This window comes from Homo sapiens, chromosome X (genome assembly GCF_000001405.40).
Source record: "Homo sapiens chromosome X, GRCh38.p14 Primary Assembly".
Taxonomy (NCBI): domain Eukaryota; kingdom Metazoa; phylum Chordata; class Mammalia; order Primates; family Hominidae; genus Homo; species Homo sapiens.
The window spans coordinates 119,092,210-119,110,903 of record NC_000023.11 but is presented as its reverse complement, the minus strand read 5'-3'; the positions used below and the strand labels follow the sequence as shown (position 1 = coordinate 119,110,903).

The 18,694-nt window shown below is 40.9% G+C and overlaps 1 protein-coding gene across 4 annotated transcripts in view; it reads left to right on the top strand.

Moving 5' to 3' along the window:
- Window positions 1-18,694, top strand: part of KIAA1210 — a 72,496-nt gene that overhangs the window by 40,227 nt on the left and 13,575 nt on the right. For 2 of the 4 annotated variants that reach the window (XM_017029688.3, NM_001394962.1), the window contains exons 4-8: window positions 1,702-1,828; window positions 2,433-2,567; window positions 5,757-5,912; window positions 14,213-14,410; window positions 17,129-17,237. In XM_017029688.3, coding sequence (XP_016885177.1) covers window positions 1,702-1,828; window positions 2,433-2,567; window positions 5,757-5,912; window positions 14,213-14,410; window positions 17,129-17,237 — 725 coding nt within the window. Of the gene's footprint in view, window positions 1-1,701; window positions 1,829-2,432; window positions 2,568-5,756; window positions 5,913-14,212; window positions 14,411-16,807; window positions 16,916-17,128; window positions 17,238-18,694 lie in introns of all 4 variants that reach the window. The other 2 variants (NM_020721.1, XM_017029689.3) reach the window with 2 other exon arrangements.

The window sequence follows — 18,694 nt, the reverse complement described above, 5'->3', positions numbered from 1 at the left end:
ATAGCTATTGCATTGAATCTGTAGATCATTTTGTGAAGTACTGCCATCTTAACAAGTTTAAGTCTTCCAATGAATGAACATGGGATTTCCTTTCATTTATTCAGGACTTTGGCATTTTTTCTCATCAGTGTCTTATAGTTTTCAGATTATGAGTTTTGCGCATCTTTTGTTAAATTGACTTTTAAGTTTTTATTCTTTTGTTGCTATTGTAAAGGGAAGTGTTTTCTTAATTTCATTTTCAGATTGTTCATTGCAAGTGTATAGAAATACACTTGCATCCTTCAACTTTGATGAATTCATATATTCTAGTCATTTTTAGCGTATTCATTAAGAGTTTTATACACAAAATTATGTCATCTGTGAATAGAGATAATTTCACTTCTTCCTTTCCATTCTGGATGGCATTAATTTCATTTTCTTACCTAATTTCCCGGTCTATAATCTCCCATACAGTGTCGAATAGAAATGATAAAAGCAGTCATCCTTGTCTTGTTCCTGATCTTAGGGGGAATATATCCAGCCTTCACCATGATGTTAGCCGTGGTTTGTCACAGATATCTTCTATCAAGATTGAGTGCATTTATCATGGAAGGGTGTTGAATTTTACAAATGTTTTTTCTGCATCTATTGAAATGGTCATATAGTTTTTGTTTTTATTCTATTGATACAGTGTTTGGCATTCACTGATTTTCATACATTAAGCCAATCATTCCTTGTAAATCCTACTTTGTCATGGTATACAATTCTTTTTATATGCTGTTGGATTCAGTTCGTGAGTGTGTTATTGAGGATTTTTGTGTCTATATTCATAAGAGATATTGGTCTGTAGTTTGCTCTTCCTGTGATGTCTTTGGTTGAAATTTTTTAAAGGTAAAATACATTACCACACTCCAAAAAGGAGTCTTTCATGTCTTTAGCCTTTCATTTGTTTTTATCTTTCTTCTGATTTTTCTTAACATGTAATTATCATCAACCTGGCACCATTCCCAATCAGAAGGTATTTTCATCTGGATTTAGCAAGCTTGGGGAAGGGAGGTGCAGGTGGTACATAGGATGACTTTGAAAATAGGATAGATATATTGTAGAGCTCTTGTGTGAAAGAGGAAAGGATCTGATGAATTAAAGCCTTGTGTATCTGTGAAGATCTTTGATTTTTTTTAAATCAAAACAAAAACACGAGAGAAATTTGGATGTGAAAGATCTTTTATAATTCTCACTGTAATAATAACAAAACTCATGGCCTTTCCTCCCATTCCCCGGAATTGCCACTATTGAATTATATACTTTAAATGGGCAAAATGTATGGCATGTAAACTATATCTCAGTAAGACTGTTATGTAAAAAGGATATATGCTCATAATGTAAAAATTAAAATTATACAGAAGGACATGAAGTAGAAAATGAAAATTTCATTCCTGTCCCTAGTGCGCCATTCCTCAGAGGGAACCACCTCTAACAATTTGTGGATATCCTTCTAGACTTTTTTCTTTGAATATGAACTATATATGTGTGTATATATTAAATGGGACCATACTATTATCTTTTTCACTTACTATCTCATGAACCACTTTCTATGTCAGCACATATGCATCCCTGCTCTCCTTCTGAGGTATCTATGGTAGGCCATATTATGAATATACATTTGTCTTCAGTTCCCATGGCCCTTGGGTTGCTTTTACAAGACCTTTCCTTTCTGTCCAGGGCCAAGAGCAGCATGGGGAGCAAAGCCCTATCCCATGATAGCATCTTCATGTTGGGTCCTGAGCCTGAAAGATCAGCAAGTAAAATGTTTCCTTCTATGGATCCCCAGAGAGGCAGACCTCAGCAGGTAATAGTGGACTCGAGCATCAGTGTCTAATTGGACTACTTCTCTTCTGTTCCCTACTCTAACCCTGCCAAAATTAAAAGGAGTGGGAACTTGGTTCTGCTTCTCAGCTGATCCTACCCCCACAGGGCTGTTGTAAGCCTTGAGTGACAGAATGTATAAATATATAATGTGCCTATTACCTGGCACACAGTGTTGATTAGTATTGCCATATTCACTTCTTTTTTTTTTTTTTTGAGACAGGTCTCACTCTGTCACCTAGGCTGGAGTGCAGTGGCATGATCATGGCTCACTGCAGACTCAACTTCCCAGGCTCAGCTTCCCGAGTAGCTGGCACTACAGGCCTGTAACGCCTGGATGATTTTTTGGTACTTTTTGTGGAGACAGGGTTTCACCATGTTGCCCAGGCTGGTCTCAAACTCCTGGGCCCAAGCAACCCTCCCGCCTTGGCCTCTCAAAGTGCTGGGATTACATGCGCGAGCCACCGTGCCTGGCCTATATTCACTTCTCTTAACACACCATAAGAATAATTATTTTGGCAGCAACATTCCACTGTTTATGTGCTGGCATACCAATCCTCAAGTTTTTTTCTCTCTCTCTTACACAGAGATCCCATATTTCCAGAACTCTGCCTAAACCTAGGAGTAAGGTTCCTGGAGTTGTGTCTGGAGCCATGTCAGGAGCTGTGCTTCAAAATGTGCCTACAAGTGCAGTCTGGGTTGCTGGCCCCAAGATCACTGAGGTAACAAAGTGGAATTGTTCAGCGCATGGGCAGCTGAGTCAGAAAGACAGATCTATGCTTGAATTCCTACTCTGCTACTTACTGGCTGTGTGACCCCTGGGCTAGTTGATTAACTTCTCTGGGCCTTCTTTTCCTCATCTACAGTGGGTATAATATTAACATCTACCTCAAAGGGTTGCTTGTGAGGATTGAATGAAGACTCAGAGAAGTTAAAGATATTGCTCAAGCCCACCCTGGTAGTAAATTGTAGACTTGGAAATCTGACCCAGGTGTATTAAACTCAAACCCCATGATCTTTCCATTACCCCAAGATGCTCAACTTCTTTATACCTGCCTGGACAGAAAGAAGGGTACACCTTAGCACCTACATAATGTAGCATGTATGTAGCATCTTGCCTCCAGCTAATCCTAAACTTATGGTAGGGATCCATTGCTCAGTCAGAGTATAGCTCTGATCCAGAAATGCTTCAGGGGGAGCTGAAGATATTGTCAAGGAGACAACCCTTAACAGCTGCCTTCCCCGTCTCAGCCTGTGGGTGGAATTATGCCCAAAGGTCCCTGTGTAAGTGGGAAGAGAACAAGGAGGAGACCCTTCTCCATTGGAGAGATGATTATTTTCCATTTGGCAAAAGGTAAGTGGGGCTTATTTCTGACATGTCTGTTAAGACCCCACATCTCTCACTCTGGTTTCCTTTCTTCTGGATCCTTTAGCTATAGAGGAGAAAACACTGAGATAGACACTAATGGTGTTGACCCTAAAGTTGTTAAGCAGCCCCTAGGGTCAGAAGACTATTTCCCTCTTGTACTACAGCAGGAAAAGTCACTTCCATGAAGTATTCAATCTTCAGTTTTAAACATCAACACTAGCTTTCACTCACCTCCATAGTTACACTCCCTGCAGCCTCATGACCATGACCAAGTGGCAACAGGGTTCTCACATTCAGAAAGAGGAAACTGGTTTCTTGGACTCCTCCTTCTTTCCCCTCCTCTCTAAGTCCCAGCAACAGAGAGACTCATATAGCAGAGATATTCCATTTTTTTAAAAAAATTATTTTTTGTGAAAATTAAAGGAAAATATTCTAGGGGCATTACTTCTCACAAGGAAGTGGTTGGGGAAGGCCACAATAGCCTAAAGGCAAGCTTTCTTAAATGTTTGGCTTGGGCCTATACCTCACACTTTTGGCCTGATCCCTTAGTTGATACCCTGGAAAACAAGGCTGAAGACAACATAGGGTATTAATAGGACCTAAGTTATCAACAACCAACCTGACCTTTGCATGGGAAATTTCCCTTAAGTACCAAAATGACAACCCCAATGGAAGGATGGTTGATAGCATTAAGTCAAGGGTCCTGACACCCAGTGCTACATAAAAGCTGGGGCAAGCATGAAATTGGCCAGTGGGGTCAATTCCCTTGAAGGGGCAGGATTCTAATGGATTAAGTGACATTCAGAACAACGAGGAGATTGTTAAAGAAGAAATCCAGGTATACAGTTATGTCAGAAATACTGACACTGAGCCAATTTTATTTCCTGCCAGATTTTCACCTAATGTCCTATCTGAAGTGTTAGGAATGTGGATGCCTACATTACTCTCCAAGACATTTTCTGTTCCCTTTATTTGAGCACAAATAGTTAAAAAGATACAATGGCAGATTATTAGCATCTTGCTGTTGTTGAATCAAATTGAATTTAGTCATTTAAGAAACTGAGACTTCAAAACAGTTTTTCTTACTGCTCACGGGCTTGACTGTCCCTCAGCCCTTCTTAAGGAAGCAGGCACACCATATGTTCTGGTTGTTGCCTTTAAACGTCTTGAACTTGGGCTTCAGTATGGGCTCTCCCTTTTCTGGCTCTTATAATTAGGAGACACGAGTTCACAGTGATCAAGAACAAGGGCTATCAAGCTGGACAGACCTTTCAAATGCTTGCTCTGCCACTGAAAGAATTAGGGCAGGTTACATCATCTCTCAAATTTTGTTTTCCCCGTCCGTAAAATGGAGCCCACAATAGCAAATGCTTCAAAGAATTGTTGTGAGGCTTCAGTGAGATGTATCTATGGAGAGCACTCTCTGCTTAGCACATTGTAAGCTCTTAGTAAAAGTTAGTTGTCATTATTGTAATTATTATTATTAAAGCTGGGCTTGGAATTGGTTGATATGGCCTCTCCCCAAGAGCTCCCAATGGGGCCTGGTAGTAATAAGGAAGCACTGGAGACACTGGCCAGGAGCACCCCAGGAGCACAACCTTTGTAAGCTTCACTGTGGTTCCTTCTTTGGCTACAGTGTCTGAAGGCTATCTGCCCTGAGCTGAGCAGAGTCTACAACAGAAGCAAGTATGTCAGCTTCATGACCACAAGAATTTGTTTTGTTTATTGTTGTAGGCCCATTTCCTGGAATGGGGTGTAATGCATTGCAGATTCTTGGCCAGTATTTGTTAAAGATAAAAAGCAGGGATTCTGACCCACATCAAGAGGACCATGGCAGGGACCAGTGTCTCAAAGTCAAGTGTACCATTTTCTTCAAAATGGAATCAACTAAATTGTCTGCTGAATCCCAAGGAAAGCCCAAATGATAAATTTTTGTCCCTTTAGGAAACCATTCCATAGATTTTCTTTAAAATCTATAGATTTTTAAATTCTGTAGATTTTCTTTAAAATCCCAGAAAATCATTATTGACATGATTAAGATAAGCAACTAACACAGTCAAGATTCAATCCAAATAATTCCTTGAATAATAGGAGCAAAGAGTGCAGTTTGGATGCCAATTCCAGGTCATAACTCAAAAGACTCGCCTCTATGAGAACTGGACTTCCAAAGTCAAATTCAGACATTAAAACAAAGATCAGAACTAAATGAGATTTGTATTTAACATCAGTAAGGAGATAACATCAGGATTCTGATCTTGCACGAACAAGCAATTTGAAGTTTCTGTCTTTGTTTGGGGATTGGCAAAAGTGTGCAGCACCCCAGAGGGGAAATCAAGGCTAGTAGTCTTTGGTTTGAGTAGGTACTAGGAATGAAGACGGGGAGGTAGGAAATTCTTCCCTGGGCTTATTTTTTTCACTTTGGATTCTTAGTCCTTCAACCAACTTTGGATTCCTTACTCTTATTAAAGAATAAGAGAAAACCACTAATTTGAGGAAGAGAGCACAGGTTTTAAATTGTTCCTTCTATTCTCCCTCTTGACAGAACCCACCATCGCGCCGACGCCGACTCAGCATCATCCCACCTGTTATCCAACCTGAAATAATTTCTAAGAACTTGGTAGAAATCTCTCTCGATGATGAGTCACCTAAGAATCCACAAAAGAAGGCTTTACCACATAAGAGTTTGACAGCGACTCAGGTGAGTATATATTAAGGGACAGGTTGAGGGGCCTCACAGATCAGAGGCATAACTTCTTCTTGTATCATCTATTCTCCCGCTGGAGCTCAACACTAGGGGGATGATTGGGGAAGGACCTGACATTCTTGGCTTTTGATTTGCATGGTGGTTTTCCATCCAATTCTACAAACCAAATAATCACCATTTTAATGTATAAGCAAGGGAAGATAGTATTTTCGAAAAAATAATAGTTTGCAGATGTTTTGAGTTATTTCATGAAGATAAAAATACAGACTTTTACTGAAGCATAGACTCTACACTTAGAAATCCAAAAAAATCAGAGGTTAGGACATATAGTATTATTTGATAGACACATATCCATGTGAAAAATCAGTTGACACGTGAGAGGGCGATGTGTCTATTTCATATGTCTAGGTTTGTCAACCAGATAATATCAATCAGCGTATAATAGTGTGTGCTCATATCAACACTTCCATTCTCAAACTAATGTGTGTTTAATTGAATTGGTTGTTGGTGAACTTGAAAAGGCTCTGAGAGTGAGGTAGAGTTTAGAATGATTAACCTTTGGAAATAAAAAGTAAACAGAAACCTAATTTATAGGGAAGAGAATTGGCCAGTCAGAACAAAACTCTATTTTGATGTTAAAAGATCCTATGAAGTGAAGCAGCCCTCAGTTAGATATGTCAACAAAGAAATTAGGTTAAAACCAAAGTTAAAGCACAGACTGGTAGTAGGTGGATGGATGCTTATTGTTTTATGGATCTGGGCTATGACTACAAGTATTTTCTGCAGAATGCCACTAAATCAGATGAATTGGGATGTATAATCTGAACTAGTGGAAGGATTGAATTAGATAACATTTTTTATTGTAGTAAAATACAGATCACATAAAATTTACCATTTTAACCATTTTAAAGTATACAATTCAGTGACAGTACATACATTCACAATGTTGTACAATCATCACCACTATCAAGGTCCAGAACCTGTTTGGTTCTCCAAAATGGAAACCCCGTTCCTATTAAGCAGTCATTCACCATTCGTATCTCCCATCAGCCCCTGACAACAACTATTCTGCTTTCTATCTCTGTACTTGCCTACTCTGGATATTTCACGTAAATGGAATCATACAATATGTGGCTTTTGTGCTGGCTTCTTTCACTTAGCATAATGTGTTTGAGGTTCATCCATGTCGTGACATTTATCAGTACTTCATTTCTATTTATGACTAAATAATACTTCATTATATGGATGTACCACATTTTGTTTAGCCATTCATCCATTGATAGACACTTGTGTCCTATCTACCTTTTGGTTATTGTGTATAGTGCTATTATGAACATTCTTGTACAAATTTTTGTTTGAACACCTGTTTTCAATTCTTTTGGGTATATACCTAGGAGTGGAATTGCTGGGTCATATGGTAACTCTATGTTTAAGTTTTTGAGGAACTACCAAACTGTTTTCCCCAACAGCAATACCACTTTACATTACATCCCCACTAGCAATGTATGAGGGTTCCAATCTCTCCACATCCTGGCTAACACTTGTTAGGTTCCTGTTTTAAAAAAATTATAGTCATGCTAGTGGGTGTGAAATAGTATCTCATTGTGGTTTTGATTTGCATTTCTCTAGTAAATAATGATGTTAAGTATCTTTTCATGTGCTTGTTAGCCATTTGTGTATCTTCTTTGGAGAAATATCTATTTCTCCTTTGCCCATTTGTTAATTGGGTTATTTATCTTTTTGTTGTTGAGTTTGTAAACCAGAAAAGTACCTAAGACAGGTCAGAAACAATTTCGAAATTTTATTTTGCCATGGTTAAGGATGTGCACCTGGGAGGCAGGTCTGTGCCTTTCTCCAAAGATAATTTTGAGGGCTTCAATGTCTAAAGGGGGAAAAGGCGGATATTGGGGAAAGATGACCACATTTTTAAAAGGTGTGGGAAGATAAGAGACAAATGGTTGCATTTTTTTGAGTCTTTGATCAGCCTTTCACTGAATACACAATTTACATGTGAGAGGGGGTAGAGGAATAGTCACTTATGCCTTCATCTTCCTCAGTGAATCTGCATTTTTACATCAGAAGAAGCAATCAAATATGCATTTGTCTCAGGTGAGCAGACGGATGAGTTTGAGTTTTGTCCTTTGTCCCACACCTGTGAAGATAAGCTATCAATATACATTGTCAGGGTAAAATTCTTAAAGCTTAAAGTTTGGGCTGATTAAATTCCCTGGCCTCAGTCACATTGCAGGATAAATGCTGGCATTTAACATTTGGGGGTTAAGTTATTCCACTGAATTGGCTAATAAAGAGTTAATTTTGAGTGCTACAAGTATGCCTCTTTTTATAATATCTCATGCTTTACCTGGATGGCTTACACCATAATTCCCCAGCATTGTATACAAATAAGTCTCCGAAGCCCAGAGCCATCTTTTTTTTTTTTAAAGCAATCTTCTGCTGCATATGCCTGTAGTCCCAGATACTCGGGAGGCTGAGGCAGGAGGATCACTTGAGGTTAGGAACTCCAGGCTGTAGTGCACTATGATCATGCCTGTGTGTAGCCACTGTACTTCCACCTGGGCAATGTAGTGAGACTCTGTCTCTAAAATGAAATAAAATTTTAGTTTTAAAATCCGCTAATACATCAAAGGAGAACATAATGCTCCCTCCCATGATTGTATACAAATTTACAACTTTCAAAGTGATTTTCCTTATATAGTTACATTTGATTCTCTCAATAACTCTGTAAAGCAGATAGGAAAGATTCTCATTAAAGATCAAAAAAAATTGAGGTTCAGAGAGGTGAAGTGACTTGGCCAAGGCCACAGAGCCAATCAAAGATAGAGCTGGGGCTTGATCCCAGGACTCCTGACCAAATCCATAGCACTTTTCACTGAACTATGTGGCTTCTAGCAGTCCTCTTTTTATAACCAATGCCCAGCAATAGCAACGACAGCTAACATTTATCAAGACTTTCTTATGTAACGGGCACTGTGTTAAACACTTTCCTTGTATAATTTTATTTAATCTTTACAACAACAAACCAAAGTATGTATTATGATTATTCCCATTTTACAGACATGAAAACTGAGGCTCAAAAGGGCTAGGGAACTTGCTCAAGGTCAGACAGCCAATAAGTGGTATAGCTAGGATGTCATATTCAGGCCTATTTGGTTTCAAAGTCCATGTTCTTATTCTCTATACTAGTTAAGAAATTGAAGAGATTGTGATAGAAGGGGGCTGCAGGGAATACCAGAAATTCCATCTCTAAGAACTTTCAAGTTGGCAAAAATATTGACCACAACAGCTTTTAAGTAACATAGATTTTGAATGAAGCAGCAGCTGTGCAGGAACTCTCAGGAATGGGCACAGAAGCCACTTTGCCACACCCAGAGAATTAAAATCCCTACAGCCATTATTGGGTCTCACACTCTGTGCCAGTACCTCTTGGTGCAGAAGTCTCCCACCAAGAACCACATTTCCCACCAAGAGTCGCTTCTTCTTGTGGAGATAGACACATGCTTTTAGCTTTTGACTCACATAGAACCCAACTCTCCAACATCCCAGTGTCAGTTTCAGAATGTATTTTTTCTCAAGAGTGACAGCTTTATGGGCCAAATGCTTGATGAAATCTGGGCCTAGACAGCCACCTGGTAATCCCCTTATTTAAGACATTACAATCAGAGCTTTCCTTTGTTCCAGGAAGACAGTCAACCTTCTCTCTATCCCTGCTCAAAAGGGGAAAACCCTAGCATCATACAACAGAAAAAGAAATCATTAAAAAGGACTACCAAAATGTGCATTATTGACTAAACTCCTTTGCACTGGGTCTAGAAACTTGACAGAAGGGAAAAAAGAAGTGAAAATGTGTTATTATTTTCCAAAGAGCAGCCCTTATCCCAGCTAACAGCAAAAGAGTGTCCAGCTCTCTACTAACCAGTGCTGAAGAATCCTTTCCCCTGGCCCAAGGTCCAACCCAGGTTCCTTCTCTAAGAAGATTCTGGATTAGTAGGTACCAGGCCGGGCACATCTCCCAGATGTTGAGGCACAAGGAGCCCATTTAATTCCAGATATTAATCTGAAGATATCTGTGCTAAACTCTCTCTAAAACACAGGAGAAGAAATGAAAACATCTCAGCTGTACTTAATAATATACATAATGGACCAAATGTTCTCCTTTATAAGTGGGAGCTAAATAATGTGTACACGGTGGACATAGAGTGTGGGAAATAAACATTGGAGATTTGGAAGAGTGGGAGTGAGGGAGGAGGGTGAGGGATGACAAATTACTTAATGGGTACAAGGTATATTATTTGGGTGATGGTTACAGTAAAAATAAAAGCTCAGACTTCACCTCTATGTGATATATCCAATATATCCATGTAATAAGCTACGCTTCTACCCCTTAGATTTATACGAACGAAAAAATAATATGCAGATTGGGTTCAGACAGGGTATGTTGGCTGTCAGAGTGCGTGGAAGGAGAAGTAGGGTTGGAGGGGAGTGAGGATGGAAAAGTAGAGAAAGGTGTCCCACTTTCTCCACTCGTTTTTCTTTCAGAATTCTGCCAGGAAGGGATTCTATTTGCTTTTCTTGGGCAACTCATAAAATCCTGTGGTTGGCTTCTGTGGTAGCTTTTTTTTTTTTTTTTTTTTTTTTTAAAGACAGTCTTGCTCTGTTGCCCAGGCTGGAGTGCGGTGGCACAATTTCGGCTCACTGCAACCTCCACCTCCCGGGTTCAAGCAACTCTCCTGCCTCAGTCCCCCGAGTAGCTGGGACTACAGGTGTGCACCACCATGCCCGGCTATTTTTTTTTGTGTGTGTGTTTTTAGTAGAGACGGGGTTTCACCATGTTAGCCATGATGGTCTCGATCTCCTGACCTCGCGATCTGCTAGGATTACAGGTGTGAGCCGCCATGCCTGGCCTGTGGTAACTCTTCTAAGTTGCTGCTAACCAATAGGACTGAGGGAAAGAGGACCTAAGAAGGCCTAAGAAGGAGCCACACTTCCCAAAAGGAATCCATATATTTCTGACTCCTGTTCTAAGGCAACTGATGGGATTATTCCTGAACTTGCTGTACTCATATTTGAAAATGGGAGCCGTTCTCTTCATGCTAGAGGACTAGGCATTGGTTCTCAACTTTGGCTCCTGGAAGACTCATTTGGAAACCCTGTTAAAGCTATTCTAAAGCCTTTCCCCTGATCTTCTTACTCATTAGGTCTTGATATGTCCCCGAAATGTGCTTTTTCAACACTCATTCCAGGTGATTTTGGTGCTGGGGGATTCCAGACCATACATTGAGAAATACTGTGTAGAGTTCCAGAGAGTGTATAGTTTATTTAATTCACTGGTGAGTTAAGGGAAGTCATAACATATACATATAATCTATACCCACATAACATACTCTAAACCTAACAACAGAGATCCTGTTAAGACTGTTTTAAATCACATGTCTGAGCTTGAGCTCCATAGTCAGATGAGGAGAATGCTTGATCGTTTTGCTCTTTAATTTTTAGCCCCGGTTTGAGAATGGATGTGGGTCTGTGTTTAGACTGATGTCTATAGATTCCTTAGTGAGAGTCAAGCTAACACAGGGAGATCAGTGGCTGTTATTAAGTTTGATGGACTCTTGGCTTCGGCTGTGATTGGAAACAGATAAACTCTGTCCTGCACATACCCAATCTAGAAATTGCCAGATTTTTGCTGAGCCTGATTTTTCTGTTATGCTATAGAATGAGTTTCACTAAAGTAAATTAAGTATCTTTAGTGTTTATACCACAAGGTTTGGGATGCCAACTGAATTGAAAGTTCTTTATATTTATTAAATATGTACTTACTTGCCATGTGGGCATCATAAGTTGGCTTTCATGCAAAGCAAGTTGTACGGTGTTCTTTTAGGGTTTCCAGATTCATAGACCTCCTTGTTTTTCTCCTTTTACCTTTGGCTGGAGCTAGTGAGGCCTCAGAAAGAATAACTAAAATAATACAGAGAACAGAGGAGCTTGCTCTGATGACATCTCAGAAAGGCAACTTCTGGTGGAAGCCTTTAACGTAATCAAGTCACCAGTTCAAAAAACATGTTTTGAGCAACTACCATGTAGTGCTTGTGCAACTACTACAAGCACAGTTGGAGGTACTGTATCCCCAATACAGTAGTACATAGAACAGATAAAAACCCTTCTTCATGGAGTTTATATTGTAATGGGGGACATGGACAATAAGCAAGCTAAATAAGGAAAACATATTGTATGTCAGACAGTGAGAACAGTGACAGGGAGAAAAACAATGTAAGGAAGGGGATATGAAGTGGCTCAAACATTTTAAATAGATTGGCCAGGGAAGACATCACTGAAAAGGTGCCTTTTTTTTTTTTTTTTTTTTTTGACGGAGTCTCTCGCTTTGTCGCCCAGGCTGGAGTGCAGTGGGGTGATCTCAGCTCACTGAAACCTCCGCCTCCCAGGTTGAAGTGATTCTCCTGCCTCAGCCTCCCAAGTAGCTGGGATTACAGGCATCTGCCACCACACCCGGCTAAGTTTTGTATTTTTTGTAGAGACAGAGTTTCATCATGTTGGCCAAGCTGGCCTCAAACTCCTGACCTCAGTTGATCTGCGTACCTCAGCCTCCCAAAGTGCTGAGATTACAGGCGTGAGCCCACCACACCAGGCCATGAAAAGGTGGCTTTTGAATCAAAACCTGAAAAAAGTAGGGGAGCTAGCCACATGGACATGGGGGAAGAGCATGCCTAGCAGAGGGAACAGCAGGCACAATGGCCCCAAGGGGAGAGCATGCCTGAAGTGCTTGAAGAACAGCAGACCAGCAGTGTGTCTGGAGCAGGAAATGGCTGGTAATGTGGTCAGGGATAAAAGGAAGACAGATCATGTGAGGTTAGTGGGAGCATAGATGTTATCCTCCAGCCCCAAAAGACCAGAACTATGACACCACTCTGAGGTATGAAAGATGTTCAGAACAATAAAAGAAGAGCTTTTAGTCTATACACTGATATCAAATTTATATTTCCAGTAGATAACATAATCTAACTAGATGATATCAGGAAGAGGCAGTATATAAATTCATAGATGAAAGTTGCACAAAGAAGTAAAGGAAATCTTGGGATCAATCCTACTTTTGTGTGATTGATCCCACAAAAGTCAACTGTACTATTTCTCTGTCTTCTCCCTGAATCCAAAACTGAATGGTCTGCAGGATTTGTCATCAGCCTGACTCATTAGCACTGCGTTAAGTCCCCATGCACTGGAATGACAGTGCCATCTTCATAACCAAGATAGTAGCTAAGGTTATCACTGCATCAACATACAATGGTGGTGGGAACCATGAAGGCATGTGAAAGCTGCAAGTACCAAGGGGATACCTGGCACTTTGCAAAACTAGCCTGAAGAGAACTTAGTGGGTAAACACAATGGGAGATTCTGTCTACTTGCTAAATTATAATATATGGTTTGCTACTAGTATCTAGCAGAGACAGTTTATCAGCTGATCTTCAAAGGGCCTTCTGCTAACAGAAATCGAAATCTTCTTAGAAATGGAAAGAGCTCTGGGGAGGCTCTTTGAGATATGGAAAATGCTATGTCCAGAAGCCCAGAGGAGACTATTTTGAAGATCCTACAGAGGAATTCAACTAGGTGTCCCAGAACCAAATAGTATGGAGATATGGAGGCCAGCCATAATGAGGACAGGGTTACAGGCTCCATCACTATCCCACTGGAGGTTAGAGCATTCAGTTCCTGAGGGTCCTCCCATCAGTCTTGCACCCATGAACTGTCAATATAAATAAAAGGTAGTGTGCTGTCTATGAAAATGCACCTTGCAGACAGGCCCTCTTCCAACCTGATTTTCCTCCCTCCACCCAACCCTCCAATATAGAAATCCCAGAGCTCTGCTGGGTTTCACTGATACCAATTGTTCCTCTCACCCCAGCCAGATGTCCTGTTGATAAGAAGGGGATCTAGGACAAGAGAACATGCAATCTCTCTGACTTTGCAAACTCAATTAAGTGGTTGTGTTCCCATCCCAAGGACAATGGGGTGCCCCTGAAAGCTTTCTAAGCAGAGGAGTAACCCAAACTTCTTCCTGTTTCTTGTTTTCATCTGCAAGAAAACCAGTAAAATTATGGAGCTTACCTCTAATGAATAAGCCCATTGACAGGAAATGTAGGAAAGGGGACAATAGTTCATGAAGGATTTCTTCTTTGGGAATTCTTCAGCCGGAAGAATATCCAACTTTTGAGACCAGTAACAGCATACGGGTTGACTCGTCTATTTTCTCCCACCTTCCCCAGAGCTTCTCTGAGTTATCATCTGGACCTGATTGCTCACAGTCCTTGACTGCATTTGCCACACTTGCCTCTACCAGTAGCACCCAGCTGCCCATTGGTTTCAGCACCCCAGCCACCACCCAGGGCTGTTTGGATTCTTCAGCTGCTCGCCACAAAATGACTTTAAATCCCCGCAAACAAAAGAAGAACCTTCAAGTGATTGTAAGTCCTTCAAGAGACAGGGCACTAAACTCCTGTATAAGAAAAGATGAGTTCCAACCTTTGCAAACTACTACTAGGGAAATAGTATGGTGTAGGAGACTCATGCCCTAAGTAAGCTTGGCAAGGTCAAGGGTGCTGTCCTAAGCTTGACACCCCCAGAGGGGTGAGCAAGCTTGCATCTGCTGGGTGTGGTTTCCTATCCATGTGGAACTTATATTAGAAGGGACTAAAAGGAAGCAGAAACAGTAAATGATTTAAACCCCCATAAACTGCTTATTGGGCTAACATCTGGGAGTTCACTCAGCCCTATTTGTAGAGAATATTCAACCCTAGCCCAGATCAGGATTCTTTCAGTTATTAATCAGATGAGACCCATGAGTCACAAATTGCAGCACTATTCCACTTATTTGGAGATCAAGCTTTCAGCAACCCTAAACATCCAGAACTTAGTTGTTAACCCATCCAAAGATCTCCAAATAGATGCCACATGACTTTCCAGGAAGCAGACCTACTGTGTTAAAAACATGGCCACAGATTAGACTCAGACCTGACAGCAAAGAGAAGTGACAGCTGGTAGCAGACAGAATGACAGAAACAATCTGGGGCCATTTAATATAGGGGCTCAAGAACCTTGCCCACCTCAATATGTCCTTCAGGGCCACACTATATCATAGTCCAATGTAATAGATAATTTTATTATTTGTCCAAGTCATCTAGAAAAAGTAGATTATTTTCCGTGATCCCTGTTTAAAAAGATAGAGAAATAATGCTTTTGGAAAAGGCTTTTAGTAAAAGTTAAGGATTAGGGCTGGGTGCAATGGTTCATGCCTGTAATCCCAGCACTTTGGGAGGCCAAGGCGGGCGGATCACCTGAGGTCAGGAGTGTGAGACCAGCCTGACCAACATGCAGAAACCCCGTCTCTACTAAAAATACAAAATTAACCAGGTGTGGTAGCACATCCCTGTAATCCCAGCTACTCTGGAGGCTGAGGCAGGAGAATTGCTTGAACCCGGGAGGTGGAGGTTGTGGTGAGCCGAGATTGTGTCATTGCACTATAGCCTGGACAAGAGCAAAACTCCGTTTAAAAAAAAAAAGTTAAAAAATGTTAGTGTTTAGTGTTTAAAACGATGTGTCAGTTGTCTATAAAACTCACTTTGATCAAAAACTGAATTCGCCAGTGATTCTGGGCTGAAAGGAAGAGACTGTAAATCAGAGGTGAAGTGACTAAAAGATTGTATAGTACAAACATTTTACAGAGAAGGGCATTAAAGCACAAATAATTTCAGATACTTACCCAAAGTCAAACACCCAGGTGATAGCAGAGCTAGGGCCAGAATCCAGTCTTCTGACTTCCAGCTCAACACTTTTTTCATCCCACCATCTTGCCTCTAGCTTAGGCATCTCAATTTCACTTTAGGTTTTAGACAAAATACGAGTTGAAAGAACAGGTGGAGGAGCAGGGCGGCAGAGGGAAGCCCTCTGGTGGCCTTGAGAGTACCTTGTTAGTTTGGTGTCAAAGAAGGGGTGACCAATTACTAGGTGCCAAACCCTATACATGCATTATCCCCTGAATACCTCACCACAAACCTGGGAGATGGAGAAGGTTGGCTGAGGGAAGCAGTATGACCCTTCTAACTTTCTTCTTTCTGTATAGCCTAGTTGAGAAAAAGCCCGGGCATTACCCTCTGAGAAGGCCAGAGCATCCACTTCTTCCCTGTGACTCTCTCTCTGACATGTGGATGAACATAAAAAAGATCCAGGATCATTTATGACACAGGGACTACTACCACTTTCTCCCTGCTCTGTAATTTCTTAGATCTACAAGTCCCACAGGAGGTTTCTCCTGGTCCCTTATTTATTGATGTAGACACAGTGATTCAGAGAATAACTTGCCCAAGGTCACGCAGCAAGTAAATGATGAAGAGATTTTGAATCCAGGCCAATCTGACCACGTTTACTCAAAAATAAATTATTATGAGCTGTGTCTGTTTGCACAGGCACTTTGAGTGGGAGTGTAAAGAGTTACATGTTTGTCTTTACATGCATGCCATAAAGGCTTACACTAAGCAAATTCCGGACACTGTTCAGTGCAGTGCTATGCTGACATTTCCAGAGCTGTATTGTAATTATCAGAAAACCTTATTTATACTAAACCAACTTCAGCCCATCCAGTGTAAGGGCTGAACCTTTCAGCTTTTTCTCCTTTCCCTCCCAACAAAACCCCAATTCTTTTTCTTCTTTTGATCTGGAAAGAGATAATTCATGCTTTCATTACATTCCCTGAAAAGAAGCCAAAAAGGATTTGAATTTGACTCACAGGTCTGGTGAAGCAAATCGGAGAATCCCAATATGGCCGAGGGCATGATTGTTGTCAGGCCCAATGACCCCGTTTTCAGATTCGTGGCCTTCCAGTGTGGTTCAGTCATTTCCAGGGTATTTTAGAGGGATCCCTGCAGTGTGTCACTCAGACATTAGAAACTCCAAACCTGGATGAACCACTTCCAGTAGGTAAAATGATCCCCAAGGATCTCTTGGTGGAAACAATTCCATTAAGAAATCCCTGGAAATATCTCCATTGAAATAACGTCCATCTTTAAAGGTACTGTTACGTGCCCAGCATCAAGAACTTTTTTCCTGATGCTTTTTCTTTGGCAACCATGCAGGCGTGGTTGGAAAGCACTTCAGTAGGATTCAAGCTCTTTCTTTTCCTGTTTCAGGTGGAACCAAAGGAGGAGGAGCCAAACCTTCCATTGGTTTCTGAAGAAGAAAAGAGCATAACCAAACCAAAAGAAATCAACGAAAAGAAGCTGGGAATGGACAGTGCAGGTTAGCATATCTTCACCCTCACCCAGAAACATGTATGACAGACTTCATTGCACAGTGCTATGTTGATAGGAGCTATACCCAAGAACTACCCAAGACTGCTGCCCTTGGTCTTCAGAGAGCTTTCAATTTTATATGCAGAAAATGTTGTCCAGGCTTCTCCATCTAAACTGCCAAAGTAATACAATTGCCACTTGTGTGGGGTTCAGGTAAAGGATCATACCTGGATTCTTATTTTATGTAAATGAATTTCCAACAAGAGAGGTGTTTTGTTTGTGAATTTGTTTCATCCTCTCCGAGGCTAACGTACATGCTGAGTTCCTCAGTGAGCCCAGATATGAGAGGACAACCACTGATTTCCCCTTCAGCATTCTTCCTCAGCAGCAGAACCAGAAAGGAATAATAGAATTGGCCAAAAAATCATTTTTTTAAAGTTGCCTTTCTCTTCCTGTAGAGAGAAAATGTCTGTGTTAATAATGATACTATTGCCCACATCCTTGGACAAAGAGGGTTTATGCAGCTGCAGACAGATGTCCTTGGCAGCCAACACCTATCAAATCCCCAAACAACAAATATCACCAGAGTGAAAATCTCTCTGTGTGTTTATGTGGGTGCATATGTGGATGTTGGCTCCAGTTGATGGCAAGCTGATTTCTAGCAGTATTTGATAAAAAAATTCCAGTTCCTCAAATTAAGTTGAATAGTTATGTTACGTTTTTGCCACAAAGGATTTCACATGTGGGTCCAAAGACAGGACATTCCTAAACACGTTTTCCCATGAATACTAAGAAAACCACAAAACCCTCCAGAAAAAAAAAGAAAAAGGAAGATTAAATGAGTACTCTTTTGTCTTTTTGAGCTTTATTTTTATTTATTTATTTATTTATTTATTTATTTATTTATTTATTTAAGACGGAGTCTCACTCTGTCACCCAGGCTGGAGTGCAGTGGCATGATCTCGGCTCACTGCAACCTCCACCTCCCTAGTTCAAGCAATTCTCCTGCCTCAGCCTCCCTAGTAGCTGGGACTACAGGCGCCCGCCGCCACGCTTGGCTAATTTTTTGTATTTTTAGTAGAGAGGGAGTTTCACCGTGTTAGCCAGGATGATCTCAATCTCCTGACCTTGTGATCTGCCCACCTTGGCCTCCCAAAGTGCTGGGATTGCAGGCGTGAGCCACTGCACCCAGCCTTTGAGCTTTATTTTTTAATAGTTGTCTCTTTTACACACAGAGGATAGAACTGAGTCAGTATCCATGGTGGCAGATACTTTAGTTGATTTTCCATATCATGGAAGTGGTTTGGAGCATAGTCAGCTATTATCAGCGCTGTATGCTGGATATGAAACTACTGGATGGAGCTAAGGATGCAGCAGATAGTGAGGGAAGAAAGGCACAAGGGGCCCTTCCATCTGGGGATCAAAGTGAGTTCCTTAGAACTAGAAGAAAGGAGAGGAGTAATC